Source organism: Homo sapiens, chromosome 21, assembly GCF_000001405.40.
Source record: "Homo sapiens chromosome 21, GRCh38.p14 Primary Assembly".
Lineage (NCBI taxonomy): Eukaryota > Metazoa > Chordata > Mammalia > Primates > Hominidae > Homo > Homo sapiens.
Window position 1 is genome coordinate 17555128 of NC_000021.9, and position 15703 is coordinate 17570830.

The following is a 15703-nucleotide window of genomic DNA, read 5'->3' on the forward strand; positions in this document are numbered from 1 at the left end:
ATATCACGGGCACCTTCCCCTGGAGCTCTGGAAGGGCCTGTTTATTGAAACCTTTTGGTATAAAGAGACAGAGTTGTTTTGAAGAGCAGAACATGCACAGTTAACAATTCCTGGACATATATGGTATACTCCCACTGCACCATGCCACAGTGGCAGCAGCAAGTGTAGTGGCTCAGTCATCACTGGCCTTAAAGGTCCTAAGGGATTTGCAAACCATTGATACTGGGCACGGCCCCTCACTACTTTTTATTTTACAATAATTTTTAGTTTTATGGAAAAGTTGCAAAAATACAAGGAAGTTTCTGAGAGTGGATCCATCATCTAATTTCCCCTAATGTTAACATCTTACAAAATCATATTATAATTATCAAAACCAGGAAATTAACACTGATACAATACTATTAACTAAATTACAGACCCAGTTTGAATTTTACTGTTTTCCGGTAATGTCCTTTTTGTACTAGGATTGCATCTAGAATCCACATGGCATTTATATCTCCTTAATCTCCTCCAGTCACGTCTGGGGGCACATGATGTCATGTCTTATTGTTAATCGTGATCGCTTGGTTTAAGTTTTATCTGATGGGCTTCTCCACTCTAGAGTTATTATTTTTCCCTCTATAATTAAAAAATGTCTTGGGGGAGCTACTTCGAGACTATGCAGATATGTTATTTCTTATTTAACTTTTGCCTATTGATTTTAGCATCTATTGATAGATTTTGCCTGGAGTCAGGGTATTTTTGAACCAATAAGAAATTATATTTCTTGGAAGGATGACATCATGATAAAAGTATCCCCTGTCTCATGTAGGGATTTAGAGATTATTTCCAGTAGACTGGTGCAGCCACTAGCAGGAAAAGATGATGAAGGAATACGTGTATGGAACAGAGCATTACTAAATTGGTGGGATACCATGTCCAACTACAACTTGATGGTCACATACCCATATCTGAGAAGGACTGTTGTTTGTGTTAGTGATCATGGAAGCAGATGTTCTGAGGACAGCGGCCAGTATGTGGGAAGTCCAGACCAAAGAAACATTTAGGAGACAAGACTTTATTCGTGCTCTCTTTGTGGTTTTCTTCTGTTCCAGCAGAGTACCATGGGTTAAGAATTAATCTTCCTCGTAGTGTAATGGTTGGATGTTGGCATGTAAAAGACTTGTACTTCCTCTTCCCAGTGGAAAGCAGGTGGGCCACTCCAAAGTGTCATTCAGAAACCTGTGTTGGTAGAATCTTGTTTTATTGTGGACGGGTTGTAGTGAGGCCCTGAATTTCCTAGCAGCTATTTTAAATAACTATCCGTTATTAGATATGTTTAGATTGCTGGTTATATGGGAGAAAATGGATATAGAAAGGATGAGCGTTAGAGTTAGAATACCATATTACCCATAGATGTTTGATGCACAAAGCATTGCATCAGTTATTTATTTGCTGGTAATTTATTCTAATAAAGGATTTATTGGTAGTTTGAAGAACTGGAAGAGAACAAGGCTCATTTCATTGAAGACTCCCAGAATGAAATAATTTGCAAAACTTATTTAAAAGTCCAATTGATGTAGTCTCCAGAGCACCTGGTCAGATTGAAAAATAAACAGATTTGTTTGGAAAAATCAACAGTGCAGTTAAATATGTGTTGACCCTTATTTTAAAAATGTAAGTAGGAGCAGATGAAGGGGAATACAATTAAATTTGTTAAGGAGTTACTAAGAAAGAGTAAGGTCATGGTTGATAACCTTAGTTGAAGATACCCCACTGAATATGATAAATCATGTTGAGCCAGTTTTGGGAAACAATTTGACAATTTCTTACAGTGTTAAAATATGTACAGTCACCATATGATCCAGCAGTTACTAAGACAAAGGAAAGCATACGCCAGTGTTCACATGAGTGTTCAAGCAGCATTATTCATAATACTGCAAAACAAAAATGCATTTACCTTTATTCATAGTAGTGAAAGAATAAAAACCCATTCACGACTGAAAAAATGAAAATCAGCTTAAACTAAAAAAGAAAAAAGTCTTGACGTTTATCAGCCGGAAGGACAGATACAGATTAAAGTCAGCCACAGAGTTTATAGAAAACATTGTCTCTCCCAAGGTTATAGAGTAGTAGTAAAGCATAGACTATTGCTGTCTTTTCTAGTGTTGCCCGCAGACCCACATTTCTCTACCCATCCTTTACTGGAATACTCAATTACTAAATGGCCCCACCTCCTCACAGCTCCCACTTCCTGTTTAATCCTCATTTTTCCTAATCTCAGAAACAGCTGATTGACAGCTGATGGCTACTTCCTTACAACCTCCTGAGAATCCTTCAGCATCCCTGCTCTTGTCCAGTGGCATTCCGTGGTTCCTCGTAATGCCGTCCTCACTAGTCAATCTGATTTTGATAGACCACACACTTGCTCCTTGTCAGTTTGGCTGACTGGGCTTTGACAGTAGCCCCAAACTGGAAACACAGTATTCATTAACAGGTGACTGGATAAGCAAACTTGTGTTATAGTCCATTGAAATACTAAAATAACTATATATACAATAACGGCTCAATCTCAGAAATGTTATGCTGAATAAAAGAAGACAAGAAAATACATACTGTAGTATTCTATTCATGTGGTTCCAGAAGAAGAGCTAATCTACAGTGGTAGAATCTGATCAGTGGCTTCCTGGGTCCAGGGTTTTGGAGTCCCATCTATTGTAACCAGCATGAGGGAACTTCCTTGGGAGAGGGTTGGAGTGGTGCTTAATGGATATAGACACATTTATTAAAAGTGATCAGCCCACGTGATTAACATGTTAACTTTATTGTGTGAATATTATACCTTATTAAAGTTCAGCAGAAGAGTATGCAATGCCAAGGTGTTAATCCAGGATTGGGGTGAGTTGCAGGTAATGGAGTTAGTAGTTGTTCTAAACAGTTACCCAGAAACACCTGGAATATAACCTCAGATTTCCTTTTTTTTTTTTTAATTAAATATTCTTTTTTACACATGAATTTCCAGGCTGTGAATATCTTTTTGATTCAGGGTCTGGTTCTGTCACCTAGGCTGGAGTGCAGTGACATGATCAAAGCTTCACTGCAGCCTCAAAATCCTGGTCTCAAGTCATCCTCCTACCCCAGCCTCCCAAGTAGCTACGACCACAGGCACACATCACCACACCCAGCTAATTTTTCGAAGTTTTTATTATGACAGAGTCTCGCTATGTTACCCAGGCTGGTCTCAAACCCCTGACCTCAAGTGATCCCCCCACTGTCTTGGCCTCCAAAGTGCTGAGATTACACTATGCCCAGCCCAGGTTTTCTTTTTTGTAGCCTGCTCTTTGGATGGATTTGAGGTGATGTAAATGCAGAATGCTAGTTGTTCCTTGCCACACTAAGTGTTGTTAGTATTGTTGATGATAAACTGCCTGATTGTCAGGGTTATGGCGCCTAGAGGGATGTGACTTGGTACATACTGCCAGAGGGTTACATGTCAGGCATGGGGAAGAATAGCTAAGGAATGGGAGGGGGAGCTTCCTTGACTCTCAAGTGGTCTTGCTGAAAAAAGCAAGTGCATCATTCTTGCTTTTTTTCAGGTGTGCCCCATGAAATGGACAGGCACCGAGCTATGCCTGAGATATTGCCATATCTACTAATGCAGTGGCTGCTTGTCTGAGCTTATTCTTTGCTGTTTTGTGTCAGATAAAGCTGAATAAACTGATGTTGATCACTTACTGTGGTCTTTCATTCTTTTGTGAATTCTGAACCCAGAACCAACTGATAATGAGTCAGTGGTTGTGTACAATGCTGTATTCATAAAAGTAAGTTCCATTCTCTTATGTAAATTTATAATTTGTTTTCTCTTTCAGTTAAGCCTTCAGGTGCGAGATGTTACGTTGATGGATCTGAAGAAATTGGAAGTGACTTTAAGATAAAATGTGAACCAAAAGAAGGTTCACTTCCATTACAGTATGAGTGGCAAAAATTGTCTGACTCACAGAAAATGCCCACTTCATGGTTAGCAGGTACTGCTGATAATAGTATTTGTACCACATGCCATTGATTTGGACTAAGATCTAGTAGGGGTGTGTGTGTGATTTGAGATAGGGCCTTGCTCTGTCACCCAGGCTCACTGCAATCACGGCTCACTGAAGCTTCAACCTCCTAGGCTCAAGTCATCCTCCCACCTCAGCCTCCCAGTTAGCTGGAACTACAGGTGCATGCCATCACACCCTGCTAATTTTTTTTTTAAAAAATGTGTAGAGACAGGATCTCCCTGCGTTGCCTGTGCTGGTCTCAAACTCCTGGGCTCAAGGAGTCCTCTTTCCTTGGCCTCCCAAAGTGCTGGGATTACAGGCATGAGCCCAGGCATGTGCCCAGCCTGCTTGTATATTGTAGATTCCCAGATGCTTTCTTTCCCTTTTCTACATAGAATAATCAGGATTTCCATAGGAATTATTCAGTGTTTTATAATATCAATTTAGTGTCATATATTATAAATGAAGAGCTATTCTATGATTTCATTTTTTTAGGATATTAGTTACTTTGGTACTTTTTTTTGGGTTTTTTTTTTTTTTTTTTTTTTCCGAGACAAGGGGTCTCGCTCTGTCACCCAGGCTGGGCGTGCAGTGGTAGAATCTCGGCTCCCTGCAGTCTTCACCTCCCAGGCTTAAGTGAGCCTCCCACTTCAGCCTCCCGAGTAGCTGAGACTACAGGCATGTGTCACCACACCCTGCTAATTTTTGTATTTTTTGTAGACATGGAGTTTCTGCATGTTGCCCACACTGGTCTCAAACTCCTGGGCTCAAGCTCTCCACCCACCTCAGCCTCCCAAAGTATAGGTGTGGGCCATTGCGCCTGGCGAATTTTTTTTTTTTAATTGATGAGACATGTTCATGATTACAACTTAGATGGTGGCTAAAGTATAGTAAGAGTTGGCTCTTTAGTGTTTTGCCTAGATTGAAAATATAGTAATTTACCCATGGTGTGTCTGTAAATTAAAAGAAAACCCGTGTGACACTAACTAGAAAGTTACAAATTGGCCAAATCTGCTCACCTATTTGTTATAATTGACTTCTTAGTTCAAACTGATGACCAGGCTCCACCCCGCCATCCACTGCATCCTGGTCTTTAGTAGGTTTTCTCTCTGCCTCTCTGTTTTTCAAACTAAGAGACCAATCTGGGAGTCCTCTTCTGACTTCCTTTTGTATGTTTCTTCCATCTAGGGGGGAATAAAATAGGTTTTGTATGTTTTCCTGCTGCAGGAAAGATCCTTTGTGGAATGCGGTAGCGTTTATAGTCTTATGTGCCCCAAGATGGGTTTGCAGCAGGTACACAGTGGACCAGCACCCCTGCTCCAGCTGAGGCTGTGTGCTGCAGGGGATCATGGTTACTTTCACCTTGATACATGTGAACTGGAAGCATGATTGAATTCTGGAAACATCTGTGTGGCTCAATGCCAGTTTGCTTGCATCCAGCCTTGGTCTGTCTTGCTTTTAACTGGATTGTTTAATTTGGAGAGGACTATGTTTACTAACACCTGATAACAATACATACTATAAAAATGAGTTTGTTTTCTTTTTCCTCCTTCCATAGAAATGACTTCATCTGTTATATCTGTAAAAAATGCCTCTTCTGAGTACTCTGGGACATACAGCTGTACAGTCAGAAACAGAGTGGGCTCTGATCAGTGCCTGTTGCGTCTAAACGTTGTCCCTCGTAAGTTATCTTCTTTCTGTTGGTGGTTTTGTTTCTGTTATCTTTATACCACCTCCTTTAGTTCAGTCAGCAAGTGTGTATTAAGGACAAAGGGACACTGACTTTGATCAGAACACTGTGGTTTGATTATTAGCTTTTCTAGAAAAATACATTTTATTAAAAAAACTTCATAATTGCAATGATATATTAAGAAGGTAAGAGTTGTCAAATCAACCCTTGTACCATATTTAGCTGTTATAAGTATGAGTAGCTTAGAACATTCTTATATGTTAACCAAGATAGCTTTGAATATTAAAATCTTTCAGACAGGTTTTATCATTTTAATGCTTGGAATAGATTATACAGTTCAGAAGACAGTTCTTTTTATGAATTTTTCCCCCGGATCAAAAAGACTAAATAATTTGTCTTAAAGTTAACACGTGATGAAATCAATCTAAAAATGTATAGCCTACCTTCAGTATCTATACATGTATATATGTATATATTTTTTACTATTAATTCTTCTTATTTTAGCTTCAAATAAAGCTGGACTAATTGCAGGAGCCATTATAGGAACTTTGCTTGCTCTAGCGCTCATTGGTCTTATCATCTTTTGCTGTCGTAAAAAGCGCAGAGAAGAAAAATATGAAAAGGAAGTTCATCACGATATCAGGTAATTAAGTGAGACAGGAGTTGACTGATGTATACCAAATATATGTCATTTCTCTAAAGCATTCGTTCTCTTATTAACCACCCAAAGCATCTTTCTTAGGAGAATGGGTAAAAGCTCTGGCCGCCTTCTCAATACATTTGAAAGCATTTACTTCTAACTGCAAGTGCAGAGCTCCAACCACCATTCGTTGTGCCCCGCTCCCCAACCTTCTCGTACCCCATTTTAAGAACCACTGCCAAATGATTATCTCAAGACTGCCTGCTTCTTGAGAAGAATCCCTGCCTGCAGTGGTAGGGATGAAGTAGATATTGAGGTTTGAAAAAAAAACTGACCTGATTGTATCAAGTAATCTGGAAGTTTGTAGAACAATTGGTAGTATAATTTTTATTTTCCTTAAATATTCTAAATCAGTAGGTCTTAACGAGAAGTGTGCATATTAGATAATAGAATTTTAGAAGTAATAACACATGACTTCACACCCTAGAAATTGACATTTGGCAGGTCTAGGGTGGGGTCTGGACACTTGTACAGGCACACTTCAGAGTTATCGCACACTGCGATAAATCACATGAATGTTTTTGTTTTTCCAGTGCATAAAAGGTTATGTTTATACTATATTGTAGTCTAAAATGTGCAGTAGCATTATGTGTAAAAAAACAGTGTAGATACCCCAATTAAAAAATATTGCTAAAAAATGCTAATGATTATCTGAGCCCTCAGTGAGTCTTAATCTCTCTGCTGGTGGAAGGTCATGCCTCACTGTTGATGACTGGTGGCTGATCAGGATGGTAGTTGCTGAAGGTTGCAGTGGCTATGGCAATTTCTTTCTTTGGTTGTTGGGTTTTTTGTTGTTTGTTTTCTGAGACAAGGTCTCGCTCTCTGTTGCCCAGGCTGGAGTGGAGTGATACAATTATGGCCCACTGCAACCTCTGCCCCCTGGGTTCAAGTGATCCTCCCACCTCAGCTTTCCGAGTATCTGGGACTACAGGCATAAGCCACCACACCTGACTAATTCTTGTATTTTTTGTAGAGATGGGGTTTCACCATGTTGCCAAGGGTGGTCTCGAACTCCTGGGCTGCATTGGCTCCTGCCAAGATGTCAACCTGTCCTTTAAAGCTTTGAAGCCAGACATTGACATCTTTAGCCACTAAAGGCCTAGATGGTGTCTTCTTCCAGTAGAAGTCTGTTTTGTCTCTATTGAAAATCTGTTACTTAGTGTAGTTACCTTCATCAACGATCTTTTAACTAGATCTTCTGGATAACTTTCTGTAGCTTCTTCATCAGCACTTTGTTGCTTCACTTTGTATTTTTATGTTATGGAAATGGCCTTTTTCCCTAAACTCATTAACCAGCCTCTGTTAGCTTCCAACTTTTCTTCTGCAGCTGCCTTAGCTCTCTCAGCCTTGATAGAATTGAATAGAGTTAGGGCCTTGCTCTGGATTGGGCTTTGGTGTAAGGGAATGTTGTGACTATTTTGATCCTCTATCCAGACCACTAAACTTTCTCCATATCAGCAATAAGACTGCTTCACTTTCTTATCGTTCACGTGTTCACTGGAGTAACACTTTGACTTTACTTTAAGAACTTTTTCTTTGCATTTACAATTTGGTTTGGCTGTTTGGTGCAAGATACTAGCTTTCAACCAGTGTTGGTTTTCAACATGCTGTCCTCACTAAGGTTAATTATTTCTGGGTTTTGATTTAAAGAGAGCCTTGCTGATGATTGCTTGACTCCAGGAGTTTGAGCTTGCAGTGAGCTAGGATCGCACCACTGCACCCTACCGTGGTTGACAGTCTCAAAATAAATAAGATATTTTTTTAAAAAGTAGAGCCATGATAACTATTCCTTTTACTTGAACACTTAGAGGTCATTGTAGGGTTATTAAGTGGCCTAATTTCAATATCATTGTGTCTCAGGGAATAGGGAGGCCTGAGGGAGGGGTGAGAGATGGGGAGGATGTTGGGGGGGATGGCCAGAACACACACAACATTTATTAAGTTTGCTGTCTCTTATGGGCATCATTCATGGTGCCCCAAAACAGTTAAAATAGTAACATCAAAGATCACTGATCACAGATCACCCTAACAGGTATGATTATGAGAAAGTTTGAACTGTTGTGAGAATTTCCAAAATGCAACACAGACATGAAGTGAGCACATGCTGTTGGAAAAATGGTACTGGTGGCCGGGCACGGTGGCTCACACCTGTAATCCCAGCACTTAGGGAGGCCGATATGGGTGGATCACGAGGTCAGGAGATAGAGACCATCCTGGCTAACACGGTGAAACCCCGTCTCTACTAAAAATACAAAAAATTAGCCGGGTGCAGTGGCGGGCGCCTGTAGTCCCAGCCACTCGGGAGGCTGAGGCAAGAGAATGGCGTGAACCCGGGAGGTGGAGCTTGCAGTGAGCTGAGATCACGCCACTGCACTCCAGCCTGGGCAACAGAGCAAGACTCTGTCTCAAAAAAAAAAAAAAAAAAAAAGGTATTGATACATTTGCTTGACACAAGGTTACCACAAACCTTCAATTTGTAAAGAAAAAACAAAACAAAACAAAAATGCAGTAAGTATCTATGAAGTGTAATAAAAGCAAGGCACAATGAAACGAGTATGGCTGTATTTTTTAAATGCACCAAAGATAACTCATATACATAGTTATTCTTCGGTATCCATGGAGGACCTCCTGCAGATACCAAAATCCAAGGATGCTCAAGTCCCTGATATAAAATGGCGGCCAGGCGCAGTGACTCACGCCTGTAATCCCAGCACTTTGGGAGGCGGAGATGGGAGGATCATTTGAGCCCAGGAGTTCAAGACACCAACCTGAGCAAGATGTCTCTATTAAAAAAAAAAAAAGGAAAAAGAAAAAGATACAATGTATATAACCTGCACACATTCTTCTGTATACTTCGAGTCATCTCTAGATTACTTATAATACCTAATATAATGTAAATACTATGTAAATAATTGTTATAATGTATTGTTTAGGGAATAATGACAAGAAAAAAGCTGTACATGTTAGGTATTTTAAAAATATTAAAACAAAATTTTCTATACATGGTTTGTTGGCTTCACAGATGTGGAACCCGTGGATGTGGAGGGCCAGTTGAGCTCTCTGTCAGTGTTTGGTATGAAAATTCTTATGCCTAAATTCCCAGCAAACTTAAATCTGTAGTGTTTTCAGCTAAGGTTTTAGATAACTTTAATATAAAAAGAATTTTTTCTTTTCCTTTTTTAAAAAATTTTAAAATTTATTATTTATTTCTCTTTTTTTGAGACAGAGTCTCACTCTGGCGCCCAGGCTGGAGTGCTGTGGCGCAATCTTGGCTCACTGCAACTTTGGCCTCCTGGGTTCAAGCGATTCTCCTGCCTCAGCCTCCCGAGTAGCTGGGATTACAGGCACCTGCCACCAAGCCCGGCTAATTTTTGTATTTTTAGTAGAGATGGGGTTTTGCCATATTGGCCAGGCTAGTCTTGAACTCCTGATCTCAAGTGATCTGCCCACCTCAGCTTCCCAAAGTGCTGGGATTACAGGTGTGATTAAGATAGAAATATACCTGTAGGTGTTAGTGTTTTCTCAACTATAAAGTGTTACATGGCTTTAACTAGATTGTCTTGACCAGTGATACTAGAATATGAAACTATTTGAGATTTGTGTTTTGTAAGACAACATTCTAGAATCATCTACATTTGTGTAAATACCATATTTCATTAAGTGTGAAGTTATAACTCTTTAATCAGAATGACAGATTGGAGACATACACAATTTATGACGTTATGGCTTGTGCTTTTTGCTTTTTTGTGACACACACACACACACACACACACACACACACTTTTATATGTTTAGTACCTAAATACAGGCTCTTATCCATGATTCATAGCTTGCATAATTGTAGGTTTTTAGAAACTTATTCTCTTGACATGTATTGGGGATTTTGCTTTGCAGGGAAGATGTGCCACCTCCAAAGAGCCGTACGTCCACTGCCAGAAGCTACATCGGCAGTAATCATTCATCCCTGGGGTCCATGTCTCCTTCCAACATGGAAGGATATTCCAAGACTCAGTATAACCAAGTACCAAGTGAAGACTTTGAACGCACTCCTCAGAGTCCGACTCTCCCACCTGCTAAGGTAGCTGCCCCTAATCTAAGTCGAATGGGTGCGATTCCTGTGATGATTCCAGCACAGAGCAAGGATGGGTCTATAGTATAGAGCCTCCATATGTCTCATCTGTGCTCTCCGTGTTCCTTTCCTTTTTTTGATATATGAAAACCTATTCTGGTCTAAATTGTGTTACTAGCCTCAAAATACATCAAAAAATAAGTTAATCAGGAACTGTACGGAATATATTTTTAAAAATTTTTGTTTGGTTATATCGAAATAGTTACAGGCACTAAAGTTAGTAAAGAAAAGTTTACCATCTGAAAAAGCTGGATTTTCTTTAAGAGGTTGATTATAAAGTTTTCTAAATTTATCAGTACCTAAGTAAGATGTAGCGCTTTGAATATGAAATCATAGGTGAAGACATGGGTGAACTTACTTGCATACCAAGTTGATACTTGAATAACCATCTGAAAGTGGTACTTGATCATTTTTACCATTATTTTTAGGATGTGTATTTCATTTATTTATGGCCCACCAGTCTCCCCCAAATTAGTACAGAAATATCCATGACAAAATTACTTACGTATGTTTGTACTTGGTTTTACAGCTCCTTTGAAAACTCTGTGTTTGGAATATCTCTAAAAACATAGAAAACACTACAGTGGTTTAGAAATTACTAATTTTACTTCTAAGTCATTCATAAACCTTGTCTATGAAATGACTTCTTAAATATTTAGTTGATAGACTGCTACAGGTAATAGGGACTTAGCAAGCTCTTTTATATGCTAAAGGAGCATCTATCAGATTAAGTTAGAACATTTGCTGTCAGCCACATATTGAGATGACACTAGGTGCAATAGCAGGGATAGATTTTGTTGGTGAGTAGTCTCATGCCTTGAGATCTGTGGTGGTCTTCAAAATGGTGGCCAGCCAGATCAAGGATGTAGTATCTCATAGTTCCCAGGTGATATTTTTCTTATTAGAAAAATATTATAACTCATTTGTTGTTTGACACTTATAGATTGAAATTTCCTAATTTATTCTAAATTTTAAGTGGTTCTTTGGTTCCAGTGCTTTATGTTGTTGTTGTTTTTGGATGGTGTTACATATTATATGTTCTAGAAACATGTAATCCTAAATTTACCCTCTTGAATATAATCCCTGGATGATATTTTTTATCATAAATGCAGAATAATCAAATACATTTTAAGCAAGTTAAGTGTCCTCCATCAATTCTGTATTCCAGACTTGGGAGGATGTACAGTTGCTGTTGTGTGATCAAACATGTCTCTGTGTAGTTCCAGCAAATCAAGCTGAGCTTTGAAAAAGTTTGTCTTAGTTTTGTGAAGGTGATTTATTCTTAAAAAAAAAAAAGAAAGAAAAAGAAAAAAAGATAAGAAGGAGGAGTAAAGGGACTACTCCTCCTTGCCAAATGTGCTAAATATCATTTTAGGAGAAGAAAGTGGGTTTATTGTATTTCCCTTAAGATTGTGAGGGAGTGTGGATACAGTAGAATGAGCCAACAGTTTCTTTATAATAAATACGGTCTGCAATAAATTATTTCACTAGCTCTAAAACCTTTCCCTAGATTTTAGTAGGGAGTTGGTTTCTGTTAATATCTTTGGGTGCTGTGGTGGTAAATGCTATATTATGAACGGTGGCATGTATTTACAGTTAGAGTATTGTGTGTACACTTTTTAATGGTAAACTTAAGCTGAATGTGTAATGGATTTGTGTATAGTTTTACATATTTGGAAGCATTTTAAAAACAGGTTTTAACCTTATGTAAAATTACTTTTATACTCGTGTTAACATTTTCATCTGTGCCTTTTGGTAATTTAATTTCTATTATGAATTTCTGGTGCCTATGAGCTAGCTATCACCTACCTGAAAGGTGCTTAGAGGTGAAGGTACTGTTTCTAAAAACACATCACTGTGATACCTTTCTATCCTCACATTTTCAAGCTTGCCTCTTTTCTGTTCTTTGTGGATATAACTTAAGCAATTGTGTTATTCATAAAGGTTTAGAAATTTCAATATTCCCAACACTCTATGTTTCTGATTTTATAACAGTAGCCATTTTTGAAAGTCAGATGTTTGGCCTGTTTTATATGAATAAAGTTTATTTATAAAATATTATAAAAAATAAGTAAATAAACAGAACATTAATAATAAAGTTTTGGTTCTTCCTATTCCTGACTTTCATATAATGAAAATTATCCTATTGATCTAAGTAGAAGTTATCATAGAAAGTGGACACGTATAAGACTTTCCTTCCTTTTTTTTTTTAATAACATATGAGGAACAAGACTTCTCTTCCCATATACTTCATATTTTAGAGGACATTGTTTTAAAGGCTTATGTCTCACTGTAAAATTCTGTCAGCCAAATAGTACCAATACGTTTTCAAGTAGTTCTCACTGATAATTTAGTTGAACCAGAGATCAAATATTTGCTCCCGAATTACTACTGGTAATCAAGTAGTTGAACAAAAAATTACTAAAGCATTTCCGTTAGATCAGTCAAGGACAGTACTGCATCTTTTTTTTTTTTTTTTTTTTTAAGACGGAGTCTCGGTCTGTCACCCAGGCTGGAGTGCAGTGGCGGGATCTCGGCTCACTGCAAGCTCCGCCTCCCAGGTTCACGCCATTCTCCTGCCTCAGCCTCCCGAGCAGCTGGGACTACAGGCTCCCATCACCACGCTCGGCTAAGTTTTTGTAATTTTAGTAGAGACAGGGTTTCACCGTGTTAGCCAGGATGGTCTCGATCTCCTGACCTCGTGATCTGCCTGCCTCGGCCTCCCAAAGTGCTGGGATTACAGGCGTGAACCACTGCACCCGGCCCAGTACTGCATCTTAACAGCAAAGCCATTTTATTCTACTTTATAACTGAGAGACTTGATACCATCCATCTCTTTAGGTTACAGAGGATAATTTGAAGAGAAATGTTACTGTAGAATATATAGTTCTGTACTTTTTTTTTTTTTTTTTAAGAGATAGGGTTTCACTATTGCTCAGGCTGGTCTCAAACTGCTGGGCTCAGGAGATCCTCCTGCCTTGGCCTCCCAAATTGCTGGGATTACAGGTGTGAGCCGCAGCATCCAGCCAGTTCTGTACTTTGAATATGGAGTAGTTTACAGCTATTTTTTTTTCTTACTGGTAATCTTAACTAATATGATTCCCTTGTTAGAGAGCCTCTCACTCCCCCACCCCCAAAAATGTCTACTATTCATGACAGTAACCAATTATTCTGGACAAATTGCTTCTTTTTAATTTGAGCTATCTGCCATGGACTTTCTAAAATGGAAACACAGCCTGAGTGTATCTTAGGGAGAGTTTGATTGAAAAAATCCAAATCACTATCCATATAGATCATGGATATAAAGAGATACCTGATTTTTATTAAAAAGATACTTTTTCAAATTTAAGAGTTAATCTTGGAAATTTGGAACAAGTAAAGGGGCAAGTAAACCTTTTGATGAAATATAAAAGGAACTCATTGCATGAAGTTGACTATCAAATTCTGTGATGTGTGGCTTCTTAAAAATATTCTCAGTGTCTTTTGTGTGCGTGCAGCATGTACATTTGATGTTATGTGAATGTTGAGTTTTTTCTTCTAATTTTCACTTCAGCAGTGTTTAGGGCTTTCAGATGCCTTATTCCAGTGTGAACAGAAAAAGTTCATATTTTATGTGGTTAATGCTTTGATGTGTCACATAAAGAGTAGTTTGTAGAAAATGTTGGCACAATTTTAACTTCTTAGTGGCTTGTGACATTATATATTATATATATATATGTACATATATCTTTATAACATTCCTGTGTTTAGTAGTGTAAATGTTCTGGGCAAGTTTTAATATTTTGAATGCCTTTGGATATTCCAGCAATAAAGGCATCATGTTCTGCAATAGGATTTCTTACTCATTTACCTATTTTAACACTAAAATAGACCACAACTGAGCACAAATTCCTTTTATAAATGTTATAGAAGCAGGGAAGAATAATAAACACATTTGTGAATTGTGGTTCAGTTTATTTATCTTTAGGGAAGGCTGATCATTTATCTTATAGCAGATAACCCCAGCCTCTTATTCATTATGGTTAACTTTTATAATTTATCTTATTTTATAATTTAAGAATATAGTACATATCAGTTGGGTTTGGTTTTGGTCATCGAGACTAAAAGCTCCATCAAAACAGAACTTTGTGTTTTCTGCTAACTTATTTAATGACACAAGTTTTAAGAGAACCACAATTCATTGATTCACTTATTCTTTTCCCTAATTGTGAATTTTAGTGATAAATACACCTGTACTACTGAGGAAAATATTCTGACACTTCACGTGTGCAAAGTATAGAACTGACAGTGTCAGTTTCAGATTTTGTATGTACGATTTCTGGCTTATATATCCAATGGTGCAGATTTTGAAATTTGTAAGAACAAAATTTGTTAAGAAAAACAACTTGCTCTAGTTTTGTGACCTTGTGTACTTTTGAAATAAAATCAAGAAAGCAGTTCTCTGCCTCATGGTGTGGCTTTATTGTGCCTTTTATACAGTGTCCACTAAAGCTTTAATATTTTATTCCTCCCTGCTTGCTGTGTCATGGTTTCCTTCCCCCCGTGTATCCTCTAAACAGAAAGAATAAAGATTGCGACAATCATATTAATACATCATTGAAAACATGTCAAGCATACAGACCATTATCTCCCCATTCCTGTGTGCTTATATAACAGTATATACTATTTGGGGTTGAAACCTCCAACGTTCTGTGATCATTTCAGAATTTACAGTATAAACTCAAACATTTTTCAGATACATTGCCCAATGTGTGTATATATACACAGATATGAGGATGGGAAGTCAAAGATCAAGGCACTGGCAGATTTGGTGTCTGGTGAGAGCTTACCTTCTGTTTCAAAGATGGGGCCTCTTGCTGTATTCTCACATGACAGAAAGGAGGAAAGGGAGCTTCCTCTAGCCTCTTTCATAAGGCCATTAATGCTATTCATGAGAGTGGAGTCCTCCTGACTTGATCACTTCCCAGAGGGGCCCCACATCTGAGTGCTATCACGTTGAGTATTAAGATTTCAGCATAATGGTGAGATTTGGGCTTCTGGCTAATAAAATGTATATCAACATGAGAATTTTAGGGAGGCACAGATATTCGAACCAAAGTAACATCTCGTTATGGCTTAAAGTATTTTCATTCACTGTAAATGTTGATTTCAGGAAAAACCAGAATGGG

General features: G+C 38.2%; 1 protein-coding gene across 10 annotated transcripts in view; it reads left to right on the plus strand.

Annotated features, from left to right (window-relative positions):
* The window catches only part of CXADR (CXADR cell adhesion molecule), a 123220-nt gene that overhangs the window by 42085 nt on the left and 65432 nt on the right, over positions 1 to 15703 (plus strand). For 3 of the 10 annotated variants that reach the window (XR_001754814.2, XM_011529476.3, NM_001207066.2), the window contains exons 4-7: positions 3849 to 4004; positions 5575 to 5697; positions 6211 to 6349; positions 10301 to 10484. Coding sequence is in view for 9 of the 10 variants with exons in the window: in XM_011529476.3 (XP_011527778.1) it covers positions 3849 to 4004; positions 5575 to 5697; positions 6211 to 6349; positions 10301 to 10484 (602 nt within the window). In the remaining variant the exon portion in view is untranslated. Of the gene's footprint in view, positions 1 to 3848; positions 4005 to 5574; positions 5698 to 6210; positions 6350 to 10300; positions 14974 to 15703 lie in introns of those variants that run through there. The other 7 variants (XM_011529478.3, XM_011529479.2, XM_011529477.3 and 4 more) reach the window with 4 other exon arrangements.